This window comes from Homo sapiens, chromosome 6, assembly GCF_000001405.40.
Source record: "Homo sapiens chromosome 6, GRCh38.p14 Primary Assembly".
In the NCBI taxonomy this organism is placed as follows: Eukaryota; Metazoa; Chordata; class Mammalia; order Primates; family Hominidae; genus Homo; species Homo sapiens.
The window spans coordinates 57,900,183-57,926,412 of record NC_000006.12 but is presented as its reverse complement, the minus strand read 5'-3'; the positions used below and the strand labels follow the sequence as shown (position 1 = coordinate 57,926,412).

Genomic DNA, 26,230 nt, shown 5'->3' with positions numbered 1-26,230 from the left:
TCCCCACCCCATTTCTCCCTGCCTTTGCCTGGGCTTGTCCTGAAGCCTGCTCATGGGAACAGCTGGAAAGAACCATGTGCTGCCAGTCTGAGCTTTTTATTTTGTTTTACTTAGAAAGATAGAGACAGGGTCTTGCCATGTTGCCCAGGCTGGTCTCGAACTCCTGGGCTCAAGTGATCCTCCTGCCTCGGCCTTCCAAAGGGCTGGGGTTACAGGCGTGTGCCACCGCACTCAGCTGCAGCCAGTCTGTTTTCAAAGATGGTCTTTGGGTTAATGACAATTCTCTCTCTGCTTACTCTCCAGGCAGTGTGGCTTTCTGAATCCAAGGAGGCTGGGTGTAGGGAGATGGGATTTGTTTGCTCAGTTTGGACTCAGCATTTTTTGTACTCGATTTAATAGACTCATAAAATGTCAAAGGTTTAAGTGAGCTTAGAGTTCATCTGGCCCAAACCTGGCTGATCAGAATCTCCAGGGGAAGTTTTTTTGAAATGCCAGATCTCTGCATTCTGAGATCCTGATTTAGTAACTCCAGGGTTGGAACCTGAGGTGTTTTTTCTGTTTGTTTGTTTTTTTTTTTTGTGAAGGCAAGGTCTTACTCTGTTGCTCTGGCTGGATTGCAGTGGTGTGATCACAGCTCACTGCAGCCTTGAATTCCTGGGCCTAAGCAACCCTCTTGCCTCAGCCTTCCAAGTAGCTGGGACTCCGGGTGTACACCACTGTGCCCGGCTAATTTTAAATGTTTTTGTAGAGATGGGATCTCACTATGTTGCCCAGGCCAGTCTCAAACTCTTGAGCTCAAGTGATCCTCCTGCCTTAGCCTCCTAAAGTGCTGGGAATACAGGCATGAGCCACCGTGCCTGGCTGATACTAGCATTCTTTTTTTTTTTTAAAGATAGAGTCTTGCTCTGTTGCCCAGGCTGGAGTGCAGTGGCACAGTCTCAGCTCACTGCAACCTCCGCCTCCCAGGTTCAAGCAATTCTCCTGCCTCAGCCTCCCAAGTAGCTGGGATAACAGGCACATGCCACCACACCTGCGCTTGATCGTGGGAGGCAGAGGTTGCACTATTGTGCCACTCCATTCTAGCCTGGGCAACAGAGCGAGACTCTGTCTTCCAAACAAAGCGAAAAAAGATTATCTGCGAGAATGACTGCATTGGCCCCTTGGGTGGGAGCGCTTCTCCAGGGCAAGGTGAGGGGATGCCCAGTGCTGGGAGTGCTGCCTGGAGAGGAGTCAGTTCCAGTGGCGGGGGCCCTGGGTTTTGGCTGAGGACTGCGTGTTGGCAGCTGCTCTGCCTCTCACAGCCCTTCCCAGCTGCACAGGTCGTGAGCGTCAGTGTGCAATCACAGGCCTGCCTCCTTTGGGCCACTTTGTGACCATGTTTTTTGCTTGTGGGGCAGGGTAATTTCAGGATCTAAATTGGTGCAGTTGGTGTTCTCAGCCCCGAGAGGCAGCTCTTCCCGTTCTAGGCTTTTTGTTTTGTTTTGTAGAAATGGAGTCCTATGATGTTGCCTAGGCTGGTCTCAAACTCCTGGGCTCAAGTGATCCTCCCACCTTGGCCTCCCAATGTGCTGGGATTACAGGCATGAGCCACTGTGCCATGCTAATTTTCTTGATACTATTTTTTGTAGAGCTGGGGTCTTGCTGTGTTGCCCAGGCTGGTCTCGAACTCCTGGCCACAAGCCACCCTCCTGCCTCAGCCTCCCAGAGTGCTGGGATTACATCCCCTTCTTACCTTCTCTGTCAGAGGAGCCCCCACAGCATGTGAGTACTGAGTCATGTGGTCTTGTGGTTGCTGAATGGGCTCTGCTGCTCTGGTCCTAGGCTCTGTATGTGGATGTGATCCGTGTGAACAGCTACTACTCTTGGTATCGCAACTACGGGCACCTGGAGTTGATTCAGCTGCAGCTGGCCACCCAGTTTGAGAATTGGTGTAAGACATCACAATCCCATTATTCAGAGCGCGTATGGAGTGGAAACGCTTGTAGGGTTTCACCAGGTAAGCGGTGTTGAACTTTCTGCTTGTGTATTCTCTCTGGGCAGAGATGCCACTTGCCTCCCCCACCCTGCCGTGCGCCCACTGCAGTGCTCCCCTCGCTTCAGCTTTGGGCTCACCACCCACTTCCCTGTCCACGTTCCCTTCTCACCAGCAGCCAGGCCTCTGCCCCACTCGCTTGGTCCTCAAAGGTGGACTCCTTACTGGCCTTGTTTCCAGACAGCCTCCTGTCACCCGTGCCCAAGTGGTCTTTCTAACAAATCCAAATTTTTGTGTGTTTTTGAGACCACCTCTCTCTCTGTCACCCAAGCTGGAGTGCGGTGGTGCGATCACTGCTCACTGCAGCCTTAACCTCCTGGGCCCAAGCGATCTTCCCACCTCAGCCTCCTGAGTAGCTGGGACCATAGGCACAGGCCAACATGCCTGGCTAATTTTTTTTACTTTTGTAGAGATGGGGCCTTGTTGTGTTCCCCGGGCTGGTCTTGAATTCCTGGGATCAAGTGATCCTCCTGCCTCAGGCTCACAAAGCGCTGGGATTACAGGTGTGAGCCACTGTGCCCGGCCGCAAATCAAAATTTTTGAGTCCTATCATTGGCTCCCCCAGGCCCATAGGACAAAGTCCTAACCCCTAGTCAGGACACTCAGTGTCCTCTGCTCTCTCCTGGGTTTTCATCCTCTTCTCTTCTCACTCCTGGCCACTGATCTGTTTCCACTGCCCTCATTTGCTCTCCTGCTCTTGCTTGAGCTATTCTTTCTGCCTGGAATGCCCATGTTGGCACCATAATCACCAACTAAAAGATCCTTTTCTTTTTATTTTTTTAGAGATAGGGTCTTGCTATGTTGCCCAGGCTGGTCTCAAACTCCTGGACTCAATTGATCTTTTTGCCTTGGCCTCCCAAAGTGCTGGGATGAACAGGTGTGATCCACTGTGCTAGCCTTTTTTTATTTTTTATTTTTTTCCTGACAGGGTCTTGTTCTGTTGCCCAGGCTGGAGTGTGGTGGTGTCATCATAGCTCACTGCAGCCTCGAACTCCTGGGCTGAAGCGATTCCCCTGCCTCAGCCTCCTGAGTAGCTGGGACTACAGGCGTGCACCACCATGTGCAGCCTAGTTTTAAAATATTTTGTAGAGATGCAGTCTCGCTATGAGGCTGGTCTTCACCTCCTGTCTTGGACTCCCAAAGTACTGGGAATACAGGCATGAGTCACGACATGTGGCCGAAAAGATTCCTATTTGGCGTCTGAGTCTCCTCATAGCTGTCCCCTCTGTGGGGAGGTTTACCCCGCCTGCCCCAGGCGGAGGGAACCTTCCCCGTGCTCTGCCCTGTTGCAGCCGGAACCTGGCTCTCCCAACATTCTCGCCAGGCACCGTTGTTATTTCTTTGGCTCTCTCTTTGATCGGACTGTGGGCTCAGGAGACAGGAGTCCTATTTATTGTTGTTTCCCAGGTACTCTGCAATAGCTGACACAGCACATGCTAAATAATACCTATTGAGGGCATGGGTGAGATCTTAGAGCCATGTTTAATCACTCACTTTGTCTTTTTTTTTTTTTTTTTTTTGAGATGGAGTCTCACTCTGTCACCCAGGCTGAAGTGCAATGGTGTGATCTCAGCTCACTGCAACCTCCACATCCTAGGCTCAAGCGATTGTCCTGCCTCAACCTCCCAAGCAGCTGGGATTACAGGCACCCGCCACCATGCCCAGCTAATTTTTGTATTTTTGTAGAGGTGGGGTTTTGCCATGTTGGCCAGGCTGGTCTCGAGCTCCTGACGTCAAGTGATTTGCCTGCTTCGGCGTCCCAAAATCCTGGGATTACAGGCCTGAGCCACCATGCCTGGCCTGTCCTCATTTGTTTATCCATCTCATTTTTTGTCCTTCTCACCAAAGATATGTTGCTTTGTCTTGTGGGGTTTTTTTCATGTGGATTCCTGAACCCCATCCAGCCCCTTGTCCCCTCCCCAGCCAGCTCACACTCTTTTGTCACAGCTCCTGGGACTCCCGCTGACACACAGGGAACAGCCACCCACAGTGGACTGCATTGTTCTGTTTGCACCCTTAAATTTATCGTGCTTACAGAATGACACTTCTGCAAACTAGTCAAGTAGGGGGAAATGGTTTGTGGATATGCACCCTTGTTCATTCTCTTTGAAAACGTAACCAGCTCTGAATTCTTTCTCCTTTGAGGAGTTTCACTTGTCGCCCAGGCTGGAGTGTAGTGGTGCAATCTTGACTCACTGCTACCTCCGCCTCCCAGGTTCAAGCAATTCTCCTGCATCAGCCTCCCAAGTAGCTTGGATTACAGGCATGCACCACCATGCTCACCTAATTTTTTTTTTTTTTTTTTTTTTTTTTTTTAGTAGAGATGAGGTTTCACCATGTTGTTCAGGCTGGTCTTGAACTTTTGACCTCAAGCAATCCACCTGCCTTGGCCTCCCAAAGTGCTGGAATTACAGGCATGAGCCACCATGCCCAGCCCCAGTTCTGAATTCTTAAGAAACTCGAGAGGGTCTAGGTGAGCATTGATAGAACCTCTGCAGTGCTGGGTGTGGTGGCTCACACCTGGAATGCTAGCCCTTTGGGAGACCGAGGTCAGAGGATCTCTTGAGCCCAGGAGTTTGAGATCGGTTTGCACAACATGGACCCCATCTCTACAAAATATTTAAGATGAGTTGTGGCTGGGTGCAGTGGCTGATGCCTGTAATCCCAGCACTTTGGGAGGCTGAGGTGGGTGGATCACGAGGCCAAGAGTTCAAGTCCAGCCTGACCAACATGGTGAAACCCCCGTCTCTACTAAGAAAACACAGAAATTAGCTGGGTGTGGTGGCATGCACCTGTAATCCCAGCTACTCAGGAGGCTAAAGCAGGAGAATCGCTTGAACTGGGGAGGTGGAGGTTGCAGTGAGCCGAGATTGTGCCACTGCACTCCAGCCTGGGTGACAGAGCAAGACTCCGTCTCAAAAAAAAAAAAAAAAAAAGTTGGGTATGGTCGTGCTTGCCTCTAGTCCCAGCTACTTGGGAGGCTGAGGTAGGAGGATTGTTTGAGCCCAGTAGGTCAAGGCTGCAGTCCGCCATAATTGCACCACTGTACTCCCACCTGGGTGACAGAGTGAGACCTTGTTTCAAAAAAGAACCTTTGCAATGATGGAAATGCCCCATGTCTGCACTGTCTGAAATGGTAGCCACTAGCTACATGTGGCTATTGAGATCTTGATATATGACTAGGTTAACTGAATTTATTTGGTTTAATTAAAAAAAAATTTTTTTTGAGACAGCCTCACTCTGTTGCCCAGGCTGGAGTGCAGTGGCATAATCACAGCTCACTGCTCAGCCTCCTGGGCTCAAGTGATCCTTCCTCCTCGGCCCCCCAAGTACCTGGAGCCACAGGCGTGCACCACGACACCTAGCAAATATTTAGCCTTTTTATAGAGACTGGGTTTCACTGTGTTGCCTAGGCTGATCTTGAACTCCTGAGCTCAAGTGATCCTCCTGCCTCGACCTCCCAAAGTGCTGGGATTACAGACCTGAGCTACCATGCCCAGCCTGGTTTAGTTTAATTTCATTTTACACTCATTCATTCATTCATTCATTCATTCATGAGATACGGTCTTGTTCTGTCACCCAGGCTGGAGTGTAGTGGTGCAAACACAGCTCACCACAGCTTTGACCTCCGGGACTGAAGCAGTCCTCCCACCTCAGCCTCCCAAGTAGCTGGGACCACAGGTGTGTGCCTCCATGCTTGGCTAACTTTTGTACTTTTTGTAGGCTAGTCTTGAACTCCTAGGCTCAAGCAGTCCTCCCACCTCGGTCTCCCAAAGTGCTTGGATGACAGACAGGAGCCAGCGTGCCTGACCTAAAGACATATTTTTCCTTCTAGTGTAGTTCAGCCTTAAGACTGTATCAGCAGATAGAGATGGAAAAGTAAGAAAAATTGAGTATCAGATTATATTTATAAATAAAGCAGTTACTAATTGATGTTTTTTTTTAAACTTCCTTTTTAATTCTGGGTTACATCATTCCCTGGCTGTCTTTTTTTTTGTATTTTTTTTTTATTATTATACTTTAAGTTTTAGGGTACACGTGCACATTGTGCAGGTTAGTTACATACGTATACATGTGCCATGCTGGTGTGCTGCACCCACTAACTCGTCATCTAGCATTAGGTATATGTCCCAATGCTATCCCTCCCCCCTCCCCCCATCCCACAACAGTCCCCAGAGTGTGATGTTCCCCTTCCTGTGTCCATGTGATCTCATTGTTCAATTCCCACCTATGAGTGAGAATATGCGGTATTTGGTTTTTTATTCTTGCGATAGTTTACTGAGAATGATGATTTCCAATTTCTCCCTGGCTGTCTTTACCCTAGCATCAGTGAGTCCTGCAGTCACTACATCCCCCAGTGAGGACAGATATTTTGGTCACCATCAAGTGGATCTTTATTTTTATCTAACATTTACAATTCTGCCAGTTCTTACTCGTAATTCTCTTTGCCTTGAATCCCAGGATCCACCTCTGATGTTCAGTGAAGAGTACCAGAAAAGTCTGCTAGAGCAGTACCATCTGGGTCTGGATCAAAAACGCAGAAAATACGTGGTAGGAAAGCTCATCTGGAATTTTGCCGATTTCATGACTAACCAGTGTAAGCAGCAGTTTAGCGCATGGGATAATGTACCCGTCCTCATTTTTTCAGGTTGCCTTGCCCATTCTGGACATTTTGGCTGTAAGAATATTGGAAACAAAGGGGGGAAGCTGGTTTAATCCATGTAGGTTGCGTTGAGAATTTCCTAGGAAAAGTAAGTTGTGCTTAGGAAGTAGGAAAGCAGTCAGGCCCCCGCTTCCCACATACGGTCAAAAAGCAAACATGAGAGTCTGCTATAGTGAGATGGAAATGGCTAGCTTGCCTTTTTCTTGTCTATTTCATAGCCAAGGATGAAGGAAAAACTGGACCTCATTTTGGATTTACTTTTGGGATACACTCATTATTCCAGAGGAGGGTAAAAGGCTGAGAAGCTTAAGGTATTTCAGTCTGTTTTATGTTACTCATTTGCGAAAAGCAGGCTCATCGAATACAAGTGAGTTTCAACGCGTCTTGAATATGGCAGCATTTAAAAGTCTTCAGACCAGGCATGGTGGCTCATGCCTGTGATCCCAGCACTTTGGAAGGCCAAGGTGGGAGGATTGCTTGAGGCCAGGAGTTCGAGACCAGCCTGTTCAGCATAGCAGGAACCCCATCTCTACAAAAACTAAACAGATTAGCTAGGTGTGGTGGTGTGTGCCTGTAGTCCTAGCTGCTTGGGAGGCTGAGGCAGGCGGATAGCATGAGCACAGGAGTTGGAGGCTGCAGTAAGCTGTGATTACACCACTGCACTTGAGCCTGGGCAACAGAGTGAGACCTGTCTTTAAAAAAAAAAAGGAGCTGGGCACGGTGGCTCATGCCTGTAATCCCAGCACTTTGGGAGGCCAAGGCAGGCAGATTATGAGGTCAGGAGATCGAGACCATCCTGGCTAACAGTGAAACCCTGTCTCTACTGAAAATACAAAAAAAATCAGCCGGGCGTGGTGGCGGGTGCCTGTAGTCCCAGCTGCTCGGGAAGCTGAGGCAGGAGAATGGCGTGAACCCAGGAGTTGGAGCTTGCATTGAGCCGAGATTGTGCCACTGCACTCCAGCCTGGGCGACAGTGAGACTGCTTCTCAAAAAAAAAAAAAGAAAGGGTCTTCAAAGACAATAAGATCTGGGCTCTCACGTAGGGTGGATGAGGGGCTGCCAAGTTAGCAATGAATGTTTCCCATTTCTTCTTAGTTTATGGACTTTCCATAAACTCAGGATGGCAGTTTGGTTGGTTGGAGAAGGATATGGTGATGGCGGGAGTTACAATACATTACTTATAGGGGAAGATAGGCTTTTGAAAGGTTAAAGCTTAAAAGTGAGAATGGAAAAGGGATGAATGAATGAACATGATGAGGTGAGAGGGAAGAGGTAAAGGGAAAAGGAGAACAAGAAACTCTTCTCTGCGTGGCACCTGGGATGAATGGTTTCTGGGGACATCCCTGATGGCAGTTTTGTGGAGAGGTGCAAAGCTTTATGTGGTAAGAAATGAGCTGTAGCCTCAGTGCAGTGGCTCATGCCTGTAATCCCAGCACTTTGGGAGGCCGAGGTGGGTGAAAAGAAAAAATGGGCCGGACGCAGTTGCTCACGCCTGTAATCCCAGCACTTTGGGAGGCCGAGGTGGGCGGATCATGAGGTCAGGAGTTTGAGAGCAGCCTGGCCAACATGGTGAAACCGTGTCTCTACAAAAAAATAGAAAAAAAATCCCTGCATGGTGGTGAGTACCTGTAGTCCCAGTTACTCAGGAGGCTGAGGCATGAGAATCGCTTAAACCTCGGAGGCGGAGGCTGCAGTGAGCTGAGATGGTGCCACTGCACTCCAGCCTGGGTGACAGAGCTGGGTGGTGGCTCAAGATATGTTTTGTAAACCTGAAGATTTGAGATCATATAAGCCAAATCGAAACTTAACTGGCATTCCTAACTTTTGGTTCTAGAGACTCCATGATCAACTAAGAGCCACCAAACATTTCCCATGTAGACTATTTTGACCATGCTGACTCTACTGACACTTTGGTTACTGAATTCACTTTATCTCTAGAAATTAATTCTTACTAATGGATGTCTGTCACTGTAAGATCCTTCTATCCTCTGAAATAAGGAGAACATTTTAACTTCAGTAGTTTAAACTAGTGTCCTAAACTATAGCATTCAAAATGAGATAATATGCTAAAGTAATACACAAACCAAAAATCCCAGTGGCTAACACAAAAAGTTTTTCTTACTCATTTTACTCATTCTTACTCATTTTACATATCCATACAATAGAAGTATATGTCTTTTGAATAGCTTTTATTTTATACTAATTATTTTATAATACATTCACTTCAAATTTTGGTTTAAAGTGTTTGTCATAGATATAGATAAAATAAAACAAATGGGAAATTGATTTTATGGTCTTGAATGAGATGATTATATTAATCTAGCAAATGAGTTAAATCAACAGAATTTTGAAAAATATGTAGTGGGTAATAGCTAATAATAATGTTTTTATGTGTAACTGATTTTATAACATTCAACCAAGTTTGTTTTTGTTAGGCCTGATAATATCAGAAGTAGTATGTTTGTAATTTCAGTGTTTATTACTAATATTATACATCCCTCAATTGGCATAATTATAATATTTTAACTAAAATATACTGTGAAATTATACATTCTAGGCACTGTGCTGGGCTTCTGGCAAAATTATAAAGTTGCTTTATTAAATTCATACATGCGGAAATCTAATATAAATTTTATACATATATTTTTTATCATAAGAGTATATAGTATTTCTTAGGGAATTTCAATGAACCTGGAAAATCTTATATACTTTAGTGCAACTGTAAGTTACTACACTTGGAGAAAAAAATTATTGATATTTTCATAGTGCAAAAGTATACATATGTGCTAGTCTCAGCATCTAGATTAAAAGTCCACCCTTGAACCTAAAATAAAAGTTAAAATATTTTTAAAAAGAATCTATCCTACAGAAGTAAAGGCATATATGTGATCCTCGATATACAAGAATGCTTTCACAGCATTGTTTATGATGGCAAAATAAACCGGAATTAAACATGAGTTTCTTCAACAGGTAATTGGTAGAATAGTTTTTGTATCCTTGTAATGGAAAAATTTTAAGATATTAAAAGATAAGTTAGTTTGCATGTATTTACCTGAAGCTATGTCTGCACCTATATGCAAAATAGGAGTTTGCAAAATAATATACATGATATCATTCACTTCATACAGAGTATTGGTTAACACATTAAAGAATTTTCTGTGTAGGACCAAGTTAAGGAATTTACATGCATTGGCTGATTTAATTCTCACATAAATCAGCTGATAGAGCAGTTTTATCATTCTCATTGCATCCCTGAATCTTAGGTGCATAGAGTTTCAATAAATTGCCTGGAGTTACACAGGGAAAGAATAAAGTTACTCAATTATTAGGATTTTGAGAACTTCAGAATAAAGAAAGCATGTTTAGTTCCCCCTGCCCCCCACCCCACCCACCCCGGGTACGTGGCTGTTTTCCCTGGTTTCAGTTAACCAGCATTCAACTGAGGTCTAAAAATAGGTGAGTGTATAACAACAAGATATTTTGAGAGAGAGTAAGAGACCACATTCATCTACTTTTATTACAGTACATTATAAATGTTCTATTTTATCATTTTTATTGTTGTTAGTTTCTTACTATGCCTAATTTATAAATTAAACTTTACCATAGCTATGTATGTATAGAAAAAAAATACATAGTACAGTATATATAGGATTTGAACTACCTACAGTTTCAGGCAACCACTGGGGGTCTTGGAATGTATCCTCTATGGATAAGAGGGATTACTATATTTCCTACGTTTCATAATGGCATTCTTTTGGAATAGATTAAATGTCATGCATGGGATTTGAGCTTATTAATTTTATTATAACATTTGACAACATCTCTTGAAATTCTGATGCACACATAGAAAATATCAAACCAGATGGAAGTATTATGTGCTATATCCTTGGTTGAATAAATATACCCACAATGATTAATCAATGGGTACGTTTATGGGTAGTTTGAAAGAAAAAATAATATACTTCTGGGTTCTATTGCTGGCACTATTGTGAATACAAATGTTATCAATCATGTAACTATTAGGCTGCTCACAAATACTTTAGTTTTTCTCATACTATACAAATAATAAGATGGCAGTATTTCATCCTGCTTGAAGGTAAATGAAACCACTTTACTTGTTTTGACCAATGTCATTTGAATAGAAGGAATTTTTACAAGGCCTTCCCATGGTCCCTTATGAGCTGTATTAGCATGAGTTGTGACAGAGTTTTTATCAGGTGTCTTCCTAAATGACTAAGTCTCCTTGTAAACTTATTATAGAGACTGAATTGGTTTTAGATGTGAAAGTTATTTATTACTGCAGTATAGTATAGGTCATCTTAACTGATACACATAACAAAATGGAATGTTTGGTTTAGAAATATACAAATGTCCCTACCAGGGGAAATTAGACAATTGACTTAATAATAAAACTAGTATTTAATTTCAGGAATTCAGAATTTATAGTATATAATATATTTATGTATATATATTATACTGTAGATATATTCACAAAGTTAATTTTTGATTAATAACTTACAGAAAGCTCTGCACTTGAGATTTATAAACTTGCTGAAAAAAATTCAGTAAGAAAACTCTATTTTAGTATATGCTTAATGAAAATATCTTGGTGGAAACCCTAAACTCTAAAACTACCCTGTGGTATTCAGAATGAGTCAAGCAAAACCCATAATAAATGACTTTATAGGTAGCTTTTGGATACAGCTCTAGGTTTAAAATTTGAGAATAAGGTTGGCAGATTCTATTCTTTACAAAGGAAGGGCTGTCACAGCAGTGTGTGCCTGGAACCCATTTTAAATAAAGGAAAAATTTAAGAGCTGGCATTTTAACCATCATATGTCTAATACATAATGATGCTTCATAAGTTATTGAGACCTCCCTCGATCTCTGGGATAGTTGGAGCAATGGCTGAATATAAACTATCAGAAAAATTGAATCTAATTCTGTCAATAAGTGAGAAAATATTCTAAGATTCTTTAAATTTTAATTCTGGGTTTTTGAACCCATTGATATGTAAAATATAACAAAATAAGGTGGACACTGTTTAACTGCAGTTGGTATCAATTCTTATGTACTGAATTTAAGGAGAGAGATGTTATCACCGTAGGAAATTATACCAACTAATGACTGCATACCATTATTATATTTTCTGAAGTTTGAATTTTCAGTTAATGCACTTTCAGTGATATTAAAGAGCACTTTATTGACAGCTATTTGAAGGGTAATTTATATACAGAGAACTGCACATATTTAACTTGTATACTTTAATGAGTTTAAACATCTGCAAACACCCCCGATACTGTCACCACACTCACTTGGATATGATTCACATAAACATATCCAAGACCCCCCGAAATTTATTTTAAACCCCTTATGTGTGTATGTATGTGGTGAGAAGACTGAATTTGAGACCCAGCCTCAACAAATTTTGACATGCACAATATTATAGTATAAACTATTGGCACTATATTGAACAGCCGCTCTCTAAAATGTATTTATCTTGCACAACAAAGTTCATATTCCTTGAAAAACTTCCCATTACCCCACAACAGAGCCTTTGGAAACTACTGTGGTCTTCTCTGCCTCTGTGAGTTTGACTATTATAGATACCTCATATAAGTGGAATTCTGCAGTATTTGTCCTCTTGTGACTGGCTTATTTCACTTAGCATAAGATCCCTTAGGTTCATCAATATTGTCACCAATGGCAGGATTTTCTTCTTAAGACTGAAAAATATTCTATTGTATATATATACCTCAATTTCTTTATCCATTCATCTGCCAATGGGCATAGACATGGGTCATTTCCATATCTTGGCTATTGTGAAAAATGATGCTATAAATGTGGGAGTGCAGATATCTCTACAAGATCCTGATTTTAATTGTTTTGGATATGTATCTAGAAATAAGAGTGCTGGATCGCCTGGTAATTCTATTATTTTTAGCTTTTGGAGGAACCTCCATACTGTTTTCATAGTTGCTGTATCATTGTACATTCTCAATGTACAGTGTATAGAGGTTCCAAATTCCCTACATCCTCACCATTTATCTTTTGGTTTTTTGAAAATCAACATCCTAACAAGAGTGAGGTAATATCATTTTGATATTACTATTTGCAATCACTTTTTGAATATGACATCAAAAGCACAGGAAACAGAAGCAAAAAATAGGCAAGTTGGACTATATCAAACTAAAAACAAACAAGAAAAACAAAAACCAAGCAAACTTCTACACAGCTAAGGATACAATCAACAGAATGAAAAGGCAATCTATAAAATGAGAGAAAATATTTGCAATCCATATATGTGATAATGGATTAATTTTCAAAATATATAAGAAATTCCTACAATTTAATAGCAAAACATGCATAATCTGATTTAAAAATGGGCAAAGGATTTGAACAGACATTTCTTCAAAGAAGATATGCAGATGGCCAACAGGTACATTAAAAAATATGCTCAACATCTTTAATTATCAGGGGCATGCAGATTAGTAGAACTTTCAAGTAAATAAATAAATAACTCTACTTCACAGACTAACCTATAAAATGCTGAATTTTGTTATGTAAAATGTTACAGAAATAATTTCCTCACAATTGTGTTAATTCGTTTGTGCTACTATTACAAAATATTTACTACCTGGTCATTTATAAAGAGCAGAAATTGATTTTTCACAGTTCTGCAGGCTGGAAATCCAAGATGAAGTCACCTGTAGTTCAGTGTCTGCGTCTAAGAGAGCACTTTGTTGCTGCACCCGCCAGAGGGAAGAAATACTGTATCTTCTCATGAAGGAAGGAACCGAAGGTGGGAATAGGGACCAACCTCCCTCTTTCAAGCCTTTTTGTAGTGACATTAATTCATTTATGAGGATTCCACCATCATGACATAATCATTTCCCAAAGGATTTCACCTCCTCCCACTGTTGCATTGGGGATTAATTTTCCAACACATGAATTTTGAGGGACACATTCAAACCATAGCAACTGGTATATAGTAACTAGGTGGCCTGATGGTCTTCATAATAAAGTTATATTTTACTTTAGTATAAAATAAAAGGTCAAGGCTTGTAACTGTCATGAGACTGCTTCATGTATATCTCCCCTAGTGACTATCACAGTTGACTGACAGCTCCTGGGGTTCATCTTTGTATCCATCACTACCTATAGTCCAAAATCCCCATCTCACAGCTGTTGTCAGCCAATGACAAAGCATAGTGAGGTGCTGTTCCTGCTCAATATGGAGGAAAACTTTGGCTTGATAACTCTCCATTGGCCTGCCAAAATATGTTAAGTATTGTGCTACTATCTGAAACTCATTTTACCTAACCTTTTTTATTTTCTTTCCTCCTTCATAAGGTTTACAAGTATTGTGGCTGAAGGCTGTGTCTATTCCTGCTTCCTCCACCTCACCTTGCAAAAGTGTTTATCCAAATAAATCCCTCACACATCTAATCCCATTTTGGCAAATTCAGTTTCAGAACTTTGCCTTCACTACTAGTCTCAAGGAAAATATATTAATACACACACACACACACACATGCATGCACACACACACACATATGTATATATTTCCCAATCTATTATAGGTAAAATATACTCTTATCACGAATAAATCCAAATTGTGAATGCTTAAAATATACTTTACAGAATATTAAAATTTAAAAGCATCACAGGAAAAATATTAATACTGTTTTCAGAATTTCAGTATGTGAATAATATTTACATTACAGTTTCATATGAACCTTTTACTTCTCTATTTAGTATGCCTTCATGTCACTGCAGAGGTATGAAAAGGAGAGCTCTCCTAGTTGTGAAAAAAGAAACATGTTTTATTGGGAGCTAAGTGGAAGGTTGAACATGTGGGAATATCTGGGCATGCACTGAAGACACCTTTTGCATCTCCCCCATCCACATAGCAAAGTGAATGTGGTTTGTGTCCATTTATGCAGGATACTCTGGAAAACCAAACTGAAGCAAGGTTAACATACATTTTTAAAAGAAAACTAAAGGAAAACAACACATACTTTATTACCTATCAAAGTAACCACTTCATTATATTTTAGTGGAAGCTATTATTTATTATCGAATTATTTGCTTGGGCAGGAGGATACAGGGTTTTTCCATTTGGGTTGTATATGTTCCTCATGAGAAAAGCTGAAGACAAAATCTTACCCTTCTGCCCAAAGTCAATTGAATCAACATGTTTACCTTGCTCCACGGAGCTGCTAACCTACTGGCTGGGTGTTGTGTGGCTTGGCAATGGAGTTCTGCATGACAGGAACAATGGTTTTTAAGTGGACTAATCAGAGCTATTAATGCATATGCAGTGAAGGCAGGAACTTTGCTACATGCAGGGCTTATCATTTTGCTAATAACAATGCCTGGCACAGATTAGCGATGTGTTGAAATAAAACATATTCTGGGAGATATAAGATAGAGAAAGAGAGCAGCATGTAGTAGAAATAGATGTCGAAAGATGAATTAAGATGATGCATTAAGCTTGAAACGTGAGGCAGAGAAAGCTGTACATAAGTTGAAGGCTTTGAGTTAAAAGACTATAGGAATTAGATGAGTGGGGGCTATGGAGAACAGAGAGAATTTAGAGTGTGGACAAGTGTTCTATGAGCAGAGACTGGGACTAGCCAAAACGTGATGATGGGCAGCTAGCTTGGAAAGAATGCTTACAACGTGAAAATTATATATTTATAAAAGGCCATTACTTCTGTTAAAGAACAATAGACCCCAGTGAAAAGAAAGGAAATTGAAAAATAGAGAAAATGTGGAGAAAACTAGAATCTCTATAGACAGCGTCAATGCAGCATCAATTATATGAACCACTTTTGAGCACAAAGAACTATTGTTTTGACCTTGGAGGCAATTTGGTCTTCATTAGGTTTAGCTGTAGGATAGTTGATGTTCATTATTCCCTATAACACTTGTGATGGCAAAACCTTCACAAATTTATATGATCTAGGTATGTTTTCAATCCTTACAACCCAAATAACCGATCATAACTCTCACTATGTCATTTGAAAAAAAAAATGATCATCAGAAGTGTAATTCAATTAGCAAGTATCAGTAGTGGAGTATAAATTATTATTGGTTAATACTAAGTATGATTGAAAAATCGTAGTAGATGGAAATATGGGAATCTTTATTTTGGATGAATAAACTTTATGCCTAAAACATATGTTTATAAAAAATACTTTGTGAATAAACCCATTGTCTAATATTTAAAAGAGTTGAAGTATGCTATTATAAGATCTTCCTTAATTGATGAAATGATGCAAAGCCAATAATATTGCTCCACTTACTGAAGTATAGAGATGAAGAGAAAACTTTTTCTTTATTCCATGTTCTATATAAGTCAAGAACTAGAGCTCAAGATTAAGATTTTTGTTTTTTGTTTTTTTTCCATTTCCCTGGGAACAGAGCAACAGTCTTTCTGGGTCTAAAACATCCTTTTTTCAGTACACCCCACAGCATCCTATAGAAATATGTTGCAATCAGTTGCCAAGTCACATCCTAGCTTAATGTCAGCAATTTTCTTTCTGAACCAATTTTGCACTCAGCATTAAGAGGAAATATTGAAGGGAGACATACCTTTTATGTTTGTAAAATTTATACTTCTTGAGATAAAAAAGCAACTATATCCATTGTCGTGGGATCTTGAGAAGAAATAAGAAAATGAAATATTATAGAAAATATTATATTATTTAATTGTCCTGTTCTAAAACACTTTCTAAGCCTGCCTGTTTTTTTGCCAAATTAAATTAATATTTGGATGTAGACAGCTTTTCAGAGTGGCAGTATCATAGTCAATGAAGATGACCTGAGGCACAGTTATTGCTAATTGGACATAGAAACCACCTTCACTCATATATAAAAATTATTATGTGCTACACTAGATATTTCAGGAGAATTGATAAAAGAAAGACTGTTGTATTCATATGCTTGTCTTCCTGGCTAGAGGATCTGTTTTAATTAATCAGCTCATGGAGTTTGGAAAATATTTATAGTATACATAGCTGAGTGTTCATGTAAATTTTGAATACATTCATACATCTTTTTTTTAAAAAAAGATTGAACTTCAAAACCATTTTCTTACATACTCAGTAGAAGTTGTTATGAGCCAACATTTTTTGTGAGCTATACTATTTTAAACATCTAAAGTAAATTATTTGACATATAAAAAGACTTCTTCATTTAAAAATATATCTTTTAAAAATAATTTTACAAGTGATGGCATCTCATTTTAGAAGAAGAGGCATCAATGACAGCAGTTACAGTAACTCGATGCTGAATATGTTTTTAAATACAAGATGCTGTGTTCAGCATTGTACATACATTATCAAATTTTATTCTGATAATATGCTGCATGATGTATTAGGCTGGGTTCTCTCAGACAGAACCTACACGTATACTTATATATATATACACATGCATATACATACACATACAGAGAGAGAGAAAGAGAGAGAGAGAGAGATCTCTACATTTATTAGAGGAATTGGATCATGCGATTATGGGGGCTGAGAAGTTCCAGGATAGGTTGTCTGCAAGCTGGAGAACCAGGGAAGAGAGTAGAGTAGCTTTCTCCAAGTCCTGAAGCTTCAGAACTAGGGAAACTGATGGTATAACTCTCAGTCAGAGGCCAATGGACTGAGAACTCAGACAGCCACTTTGCAACTCCTGGAATCCCAAGGCCAGAGAGCCTGGAGTTTGGATGTCCAAAAGCACCAGAAGGAGGGTGTCTTAGGTCCAGGAGAGAGTGAGCTTTCCTATGCATTTTTGTTTTATCCATACCCCTGACCAATTGGATGGTGCCCACCCGCATTGAGGGTGGGTGTCCCTCTATTAAATATTTTAACTATAATTTTAACTGTGATATAGGCACTGAATTCTTGTTGCTAATAATCTGGTAAGATCCATCTGAACTATGAAGTGAGTACCTGGAGGAACTCCTACATTTTAGGCTTTCAAAGGTTACAGGCTTTTCGTGTGTGTGTGTGTGTGTGTGTGTGTGTGTGTGCGTTTTGAGAAAAATGGAATTCAAACACTGTGATTAGAATGTATGTTTACTTATATAGAATTAATGAATGTATATAATAATAATTACTGTATATAATTTTAAAATATAATAAAGTCTCTTTATCCATGTGGTGTTAGTCTGTCTCTTCCATTTTGTTTTTCTTCCCTTCTTGAGCACTCCTTGCTTTTTTACCCATGGCCACTGTTTGATAATGAACATATTTGTAGCTTCTCATTTTAAGTCCCTTTCGACACTTTCAGAGACTTTATCCTGCAAATTTGGAAAGGTTTTTCTTTTCCATAATATAATTTTCCAAATGTTGGCTACTTGTTTAATTTTTTAAACATGCAATTGTTTTGCTTGTTTGCTTCACCTGGCAGCTCTCTCTAAAACCTGAGTCACTATTCCTTTTGAACTCTGCTAAAAACATTATCATCTTCTCCAGGAGCTGAGGTGAAAGATGATGTTTTATTCTACTGCTTTAGTAGGAAGGAATTATTGTCTAATTCGAGTGCAAAATATCTTGTACCATTGATCATCTTTCTGGCAATAGACATCACAGTCTGCTTCCTAACCATTTCATCTCAGGCATTGTGCTGATTACCCCTTCAGGACTCTGGAGTCCACCGTTTTGCTGTAATTTCTTTAACCACCTGCCAACTCACTAAGGGCATTTGCTTAGTGTTTAATGTTCACCTCCCAAATCAGTCTTTTTAATTGAATAGGCTATTTTTTTCACATTTCATATTCAAGCTTAACTTCCCTTTTGTAATATAGGCAGATGTTAAGATCACGTCAGCACTGCTGTGCAAAGGTTTATGGCATATATTATTTTATATCTTTGTTCCACTGTCTGTCCTAAAATAAAAATCAATTGGTTTTTTGTTTGTTTTCTTGTTTTTAACATATCAACACAAACCAAAGTATTCTGTATGCTCCATTGATACCATCTCGTTGTTTGGATAGGCAAGATAAACACGTCTTAAGTTTTTAAAGGTTACAGAAGGGTTGAGAATGATGGAATCCAATCACTGATTAAAAATGTGTGTTTACTAGGTAGTATTTAAGAATGAATGCATATAATAATTATTGCTATTTTTAATTTAAAAATATAATAGGGACCTTTTGTCAATGTGGTGAGAGTCTTTCTATGTCCAGTCTGTTTTTTTGCCCTTCTAGAGCACTCCTTGCTTTTTTACCCATAGCCTTTGGATGATAATCAACAACATATATGTTGCTTCTCATTTTAAGCACTTTTCAATACTTGCAGAAACTTTAGTATATCACGGACATATATGAAATTGTGAGGGCTTTGTTATTGAGATTTTTAATTAAAATAAAATTATCATAATCATAATAAAATACATTTTATAGTAAAATATTAAAATACAAATATAATAATAAAGCAAAACTATAGTAGCATCTTTCTCTAGATTGCAATTTAAAGAAGAAACATTGACTTCCTTATGTTGGAATCAATCTTTTTAAAAAGTTTATATTTTAGGTTTACGGGTACATGCGAAGGTTTGTTATATAGATAAACACATGTCATGGGGGGGTTGTTGTACATAACATTACATCACCCAGAAATTAAGCTCGGAATCTTTTTCTTTCATTTTTAGCTATATTATTTCCCTTATGGTGGACCATAAATCTAAAATGTAATTAAATGTCCATCCTCCAAAAATGGAAATGCAAGCATGTGCATGTCTTTAAAGGTAAGACACAGAAGCTGTCAATATAATTTGTACAGAATTTATATTTTTAATCCATGTGTCCACATACAAGGTGGAATGCCCATTGTATGAGGAACATTCTGTACATTGATTATGTGTAATTGAATGCAAGAACTTATACAGAGGTACATTAAGATGAAGAAACATGTTTATCTTGTTCTCTCTTCTCTGTAGCATTGAAATTTCAGCTGCAAAGAAAAGGGTAGGCAAGTCAGGGCAATGTCAATTTTTCTCAATTAAAACAATTTTAAAATCCAAATGAATACTAAGGGGAGAAAGAGAGCCAACTACCCATAAGTATTTATAATTTGATTAAAATTCTGTTTTGTTGAACTCTCCACATTATTTAATAAGAGGTAGTGAGCTTAGGATAGCTTACCCTGCTCAGATAAACCATTACAAGCTTTGCAATTTACTAATCATCAATCTGAAGCAATTTTCTGTAATATTTTAGCCCCTCTTCACTGATACATAAAGAGAACTTGCATATAAAAACAATAGAGGAATTCAAGATGCTCTGCATTTAAAATCTCAACTGTAGAAATGATTTTCTGCCATATCTAGTAATTCAGAGCTAGACAAAACCATTAATTTAATTATATACCTGCTATGGTTTGAATGTGTCCCCCAAAGTTTATGTGTTGGAAACCTAATTCTCAATGTAATGGTGTTGGGAGTTAGGGCCTAATAAGAGGTGATTAAATTATGAGAGTTCTGTCCTCATGAATGGACTAATATCATTTTCCTTGGAGTGGGTTAGTTATTATGAGAATGGGTTTGTTATAAAGACAAGTTTGGCCCATTCTTGCTCGCTTGCTTTTGCCTACTCTTGACCTTCTGCTTTCTGCCATGGGATGACAGAGAATGTAGGCACTCACCAGATGCCGTTGCTATGCATTTGAATTTCCAGTCTCCAGAACCATGAACCATGGTTCATTATAAATTTAACAAGTCTGTGAGAGTCTGTTATGAGTATAAAATGAACTAAGTCCCTAATGTGCAATATGAAAAAATGAATACCAGATTAATCTCTCAGACTACCTTTCACTATCCAGTGCAGAGAGAATCAGTCCAGGGTAAAACTAACTTTATGTAATGAAGGATAAAAGGAAGAAATCAAATTAACGAAAATGGATGCATGGATTAGAAAAAAAAATCGTTTAAAAAATCAAATGGTTGTACCCAAAGGAGACACAATGCATGGTTTAAGTGGGAAACCTCACTGACCATGACATTTATTTTTAATTAGCAATTCAACTAATGTATAGCATCAGTAACATTGTCAATAATTATCTCCCAAGCTTTGTCATTGTATATAATTTATAGAACTCTCCATATATGTTGTTGTTTCATACATTTACAATATTTTTAAAATTTAAACCAGTAGTCTAATGTAATAAGAACTATTTCACCATGAAAGATAAAGAGTGTAATAATTCCTGTCAAAAGTCCAATGGACATTGTCTAGGTAAGCAGAATCCAGATAGTTCACCTGAAAAATAGTAAAATGTCCAAACAGCTTCATAAATAAATAGACTATGTTTAATCTTAAAAAAACTGCTAATATACGTATTTGATATTAAGAATTTTAAAATTAATTTCACTGGAGTTTGAGACTCTTAATTTAGAGAAAAATATAACATTTTATATATACAGTTTTTGAATTCAATTTTTTTAACAATTGAAAAACCATACCATGCTAAGAATTTGCATTTGAACACTGAAATATTCTCTAAGTGGCCTGTTAGTGTATTAAAATTTCCTCTTAAACCTTTTTATTTTTATGTTTTTTTTAAAGCTCCTAGTGGAAGCTTTGGCTACATAAAACGTATTTCATAAAGTTTGACTCTGAAGCATAATGCCAATTGCACAGTTGCCCACATTGAGCTATGAGTGGGCAGCGTTTTGTAACCATGGATATGGTGAACTTAATGTGAGAGCCATATTCATCTGAGGCTTGCAAGGGTTGGACAGTGCCCTACCTAGATATTCTTTACTGGGTCAGTGAGCAATCTCCAGCTGCCAAGTGATGTCAGCTCACTCCAAAGAATTGGCCTTGTCTGACAGAAGTATGCCCAATCAAATGTATGCATATGAATCACTGTCTTAAATTCTACTTCTAGAAAATCCAAACTATGAGACTCTTATTAAGAAAAATAAGCAGTATTTTTCTGAAATTCTTATTCTTTCTTTTTTTCCCAATATAAAAGGTTTTTTTTTCTTTTGCTAGTATTGCAGATTTTGTTTCACATAGCATTCTTTCTCTCTCTCTTTCGCTCCTTCTCTCTTTGTCTGAGAGCGGTCAGGGATTATTATCAGTCTGTCATCGGTCAGGGATTATTTGATTTAACCTTCACAGTGGTTTTAGCAGATAGGGAGCATTATCATAACTGGTTTTGTTTTGACAACAGTTAGAGTAGCTGTAAATTGGATAATGTAAATATTGGCCAAGGTCACACATTTAGTAAGTGGTGCAGTTGAGATTGCAATCTGGTCTGTCTGACTCTAGAGTAACGGAACTCTTAACTGCTATGCCGCACTGCATCCCCTTATAATTTAGGGAGCCCAGTGTTGGTGAACGGTAGGACCTATCACCAGCTCCCTCATAGTCCAATTAGATGATCAAATATCCTTTTCAAATATTCAGGCACAGAGAATTGGGCAAATTATAATTATATATGTAGGGAGAATGTATATGAATATGCTTTACACGTCTATATAATTTAATGAAATTCATCCAGGTATGTTCATTTGGGGCAATATCCTTGTGAGGCATTGTGGAAATAAACTAATGATTTCAAACAGAAAGGAAAAGAAAAACGGGATGGTAGGAGTTCTGTTAGACAGGTATTCTGTCCTTTCCCCTACCTACTAACTTAATGCAACTTTGCAAATCTATAGTAGGTTTTCTTTAGGACTACACTGCTCTGATCCTTTGTTTATGTTTTTCTCTCATCCATTGTGGATTCTAATGCCCTCAGTACTGAATAATAAACACAAGTCTGATGGTAGGGGCTACCTAATGAACTCTACACCCTATATCTGCATTTGTATATTTTTTCTTAATTTATGTTAGCTTCTTTGGTCTAAAGGTAGGAACTTAAACTTCCTAATATTTATTTTCACTTGCATTAATGATCTTTTGTTTAGAATTATTTATGTACTCATAATATTGCTCCTTAATGTATTCTCAAATGTGTTACTTGGAATCTTTCTTACAGAACTTTGGCATGTTTCTATGTTTATACTTCTGGGTTTTTTTTTTAATTCTTTAATTATCTAAATTTTTAATATCTGATTTATTTAATTTTGTATATAACTTTTATTCTCATCAATGTTTACCTGGAATAGTACAGGGACAAATTCCAATATTCTTACTTATCACAGCATATTACTTGGCAAGTCCTCAGATTTATCAGTATTATATTTGAAGATAAAGAACTATCTAATAAAACAGAATAAAGACATTCAAAAGTTAAATTTTAAAAATTTCATCAGTGGATTTTAATTGGGAAATATGCATGTTTCAATAAACACTATAAATTGTTTCTGGAACCTGTGCATCTTTCTTCTGCCAAATTGCATTTGGAACATTTTTATGAAATTAATTGTTCAACCTTGTTAATGAGTATTCTTTTTGCAGCTCATCATAATTTTTAGAGGTCATTATGATTTTGTCACGTTATTTTAATCACTTATTTGCATATTATTTGTATAATTTGGTAAAAATGAGACACTAAAATAAATAATGAGGAGATGAAAATTAGTTTCTTGGAAAAAACATCTCTCATTCCTCTGGAATGAGTTGCATGTCTTTGTTCAAGTTTGCTATTGTTGTACGTTTTTAAAATCGTGATTAATACATAGTAAACAACATTATAGGTTGTTTATTAATTTCAAATACACAGAGTTTTTTCCTGAAATAAATATGATCAGATAGTAGACATTGATTTGATAACTTTAAACTGAAATATATAGTTATTTAATTTAAAATCAAACCTACAAAAATTGTAAAGAGATACAGAAGGTACTGACTTATTTGGTGTTTTTAAGAACAAATGTGAAAATGCGATTGATAAAATTATTATTTATACTCTATGTATGTGTTACACACATATGTATGTTTATAAATATATGTATATGATTGTTTGTGTATGTAAGTATATTTCTCCTAAATCCCTCACTTCAGTCTTATTTCTTCTATAATCTAGTGTTGAGAGGTGAACATTCATAATATATCCATGGTTGTAACCAAAATCTCTGATTGTAATTAATCCACATATTATTTCTTTGTTTTATAGTAGATTAACAGAAAAAAAATTCAAATAAATTAGATTATTCCCTAAATGGGTCAGAATTATTTATGTAGAAGGTCTTACGAAAAATATTTAGGAAATTCAGGTTTGGAATTTCTGCATTCTATGAATTTCCATATATGAAATCAGAAACTTAATTTTTCTGAAATATAGACACTAATTCCATATAGGCAAGGTTTGTATGTTTGTAAAAAATAAGAGAAATCACATCACATTTGAAAATTGCCTTGGCCACCTGAAAAAGAGCAGGCTTGGCCGGGCACGATGGCTCAGACCTGTAATCCCAGCACTTTGGGAGGCCGAGGCGGGTGGATCACTTGAGGTCAGGAGCTGAAGACCAGCCCGGCCAACATGGTGAAACCCCGACTCTACTAAAAATACAAAAATTAGCCGGGCATGGTGGCATGCACTTGTAATCCCAGCTACTCGGGAGGCTGAGGCAGGAGAATTGCTTGAACCCGGGAGGGGGAGGGTGCAGTGAGCTGAGATCACACCACTGTACTCCAGCCTGTGCGACAGAGGGAGACTCCGTCTCAAAAAAAAAAAAAAAAAGAAAAGCAGCCTTTGCCCAGATTTAGTATGCTCTTAGATTGATTAGTTCCCATACTTTGTTTTATCTGAACAATATATGAGTAGATGGAGAGGATATTGGTGGTAAGGTCCATTGACAATCTGGATCCTGAAAGGTAATAATACATTGAAATGTAGATTTTTGAATAGCTGAGGCTTTTGAGCTGTGTATTATTTTTGTATTGCTGGAGTATTGAATTACCACAAACTTGGCAACTTACAACGACAAAAGTTCATCATCTTACAGATCTATAAGTTAGGAGTCCAACATGGGTCTCACTGAACTAAAATCCCAATGTTGAAAGGGCTACAGTGTTCCTCTTTAGAGGCTAGAAGAAATAATTTATTTCCTTGACTTTTTCAGCTTCTAGAGGCTGTCGACATTCCTTAGCTCTTGGTCCCCATCCTGCATCAAAGCCAACAAAGTTTTATCTCTCTCATCATTCTTCCACAGTCACATCTCTCTTTCTGACCACAGCCAGGAATGATTCTCTGCTTTTAAGAACCCATGCGACTACATGCCAAACAGAATAACCAGGATAATTTCTTCATCTTAAGGTACTTAATCACATCTACAAAATCTCATTCAACATGGCAGGTAGCATATTCACATATTTTGGGGACAACAACGCAAACATCTTTGGGGGCCATCATTCAGCTTACTACAATGTGTGATGTCAGTAATAGAGCTACAGATTCATAGTAGGGTCTTTCTCAATAATGATTTTGTTCATACTGCATCTTCTAAAAGAGGAGAGTCATAAAACTTGATTATTTAATCATGATTAGGAAAGTTTGGTATATAACACAGTAGCCATATTTTATACAGTTGTGGCTACTGTGAAATAGGAAGCTCAGCAGCAGTCATTGGGAGCGTGCATGTCTTGGCCGTGAGTAATCTGAGTAAATTCTACAAATATGTTTCAGTAATTGAAAACAGAAGACGTTCATATGAAATTTGCCAAAAGTCCTATTCCCAGCGATTAAGTAATTATCTGTTATAAATCAAAATTACTCCAATAGTCATAAAAATTATATATTTATATGGCTAAACTCTAAAGTTTTGATTTGAATAATGCTAACCAATTGTAGCAAAAAGAGGTTTGGAGAGGAAATCAACAACTGGAACATAATTTCACTATTACCACTTTCTGAAATTGTGACTAGGAACAAGTAATTTAGCAACACTATTTCGGAGTTTACTCACAGAATGAGTTTCCTAGGTCAGACATGACTATCTCATTCAAACAATTAGAAAAAAGTGATATAAAAAGTGACTAAGACCATGTATATATTCCATATTTTTTCTCATCTTCAATTTCTTCCACAATGAGTTTTATTAAGTGTTTTGCTTTTATTTGGGTTAATTGTCAATAATTTTCCCCCACAACATATAATATCTAGTAACATCTATGTGGAAGACATATGTCTTAAATCTATATTAGTACTTAGAATTCCACAAATTCTAACTGTGCAAATAAAGTAGTGAAATGTCCATTTAGGTTTCTGTCACTCCCATAAATATATAGATTTATTTCTCATAATACAATTACATATTGGTTGGGAGAGCAATTAGTTAACCACATAGTATTGGACATGCTATTGCATTAACTGACCAGTTTTTCTGCATTTGAAATTACAGAGCAATTAGAATAATCACAGTATAAATACTATGATTTATTCTTCAGATTTTTTATGAGAGACTGTTACATAAGACTTGGAAGCCGGGCGTAGTGGCTCATGCCTGTAATCCCAGCACTTGGGAGGCCTGTAATCCTAGCACTTTGGGAGCACTTTGGGAGGCGGGGGATCACCTGAGGTCAGGAGCTTGAGACCAGCCTGGCTAACATGGCGAAACCCCATCTCTACTAAAAATACACAAAT

At 38.4% G+C, this 26,230-nt stretch overlaps 2 pseudogenes across 5 annotated transcripts in view; both read left to right on the top strand.

Moving 5' to 3' along the window:
• LINC00680-GUSBP4 (LINC00680-GUSBP4 readthrough, transcribed pseudogene) overlaps positions 1-6,532 on the top strand; it is a 41,566-nt pseudogene extending 35,034 nt beyond the window's left edge. For all 3 annotated transcript variants that reach the window (NR_132998.1, NR_003660.2, NR_132997.1), the window contains 2 exons: positions 1,822-1,996; positions 6,494-6,532. The product of NR_132998.1 is annotated as an LINC00680-GUSBP4 readthrough, transcribed pseudogene, transcript variant 3 (transcript). The remainder of the gene's footprint in view (positions 1-1,821; positions 1,997-6,493) is intronic.
• The window catches only part of GUSBP4 (GUSB pseudogene 4), a 28,377-nt pseudogene extending 10,517 nt beyond the window's left edge, over positions 1-17,860 (top strand). Inside the window, exons 4-5 of one of the 2 annotated variants that reach the window (NR_132999.1) lie at positions 1,822-1,996; positions 13,371-17,860. The product of NR_132999.1 is annotated as a GUSB pseudogene 4, transcript variant 1 (transcript). Of the gene's footprint in view, positions 1-1,821; positions 1,997-6,493; positions 6,533-13,370 lie in introns of those variants that run through there. The other variant, NR_133000.1, reaches the window with a different exon arrangement.
• Positions 17,861-26,230: the final 8,370 nt, after the last annotated feature.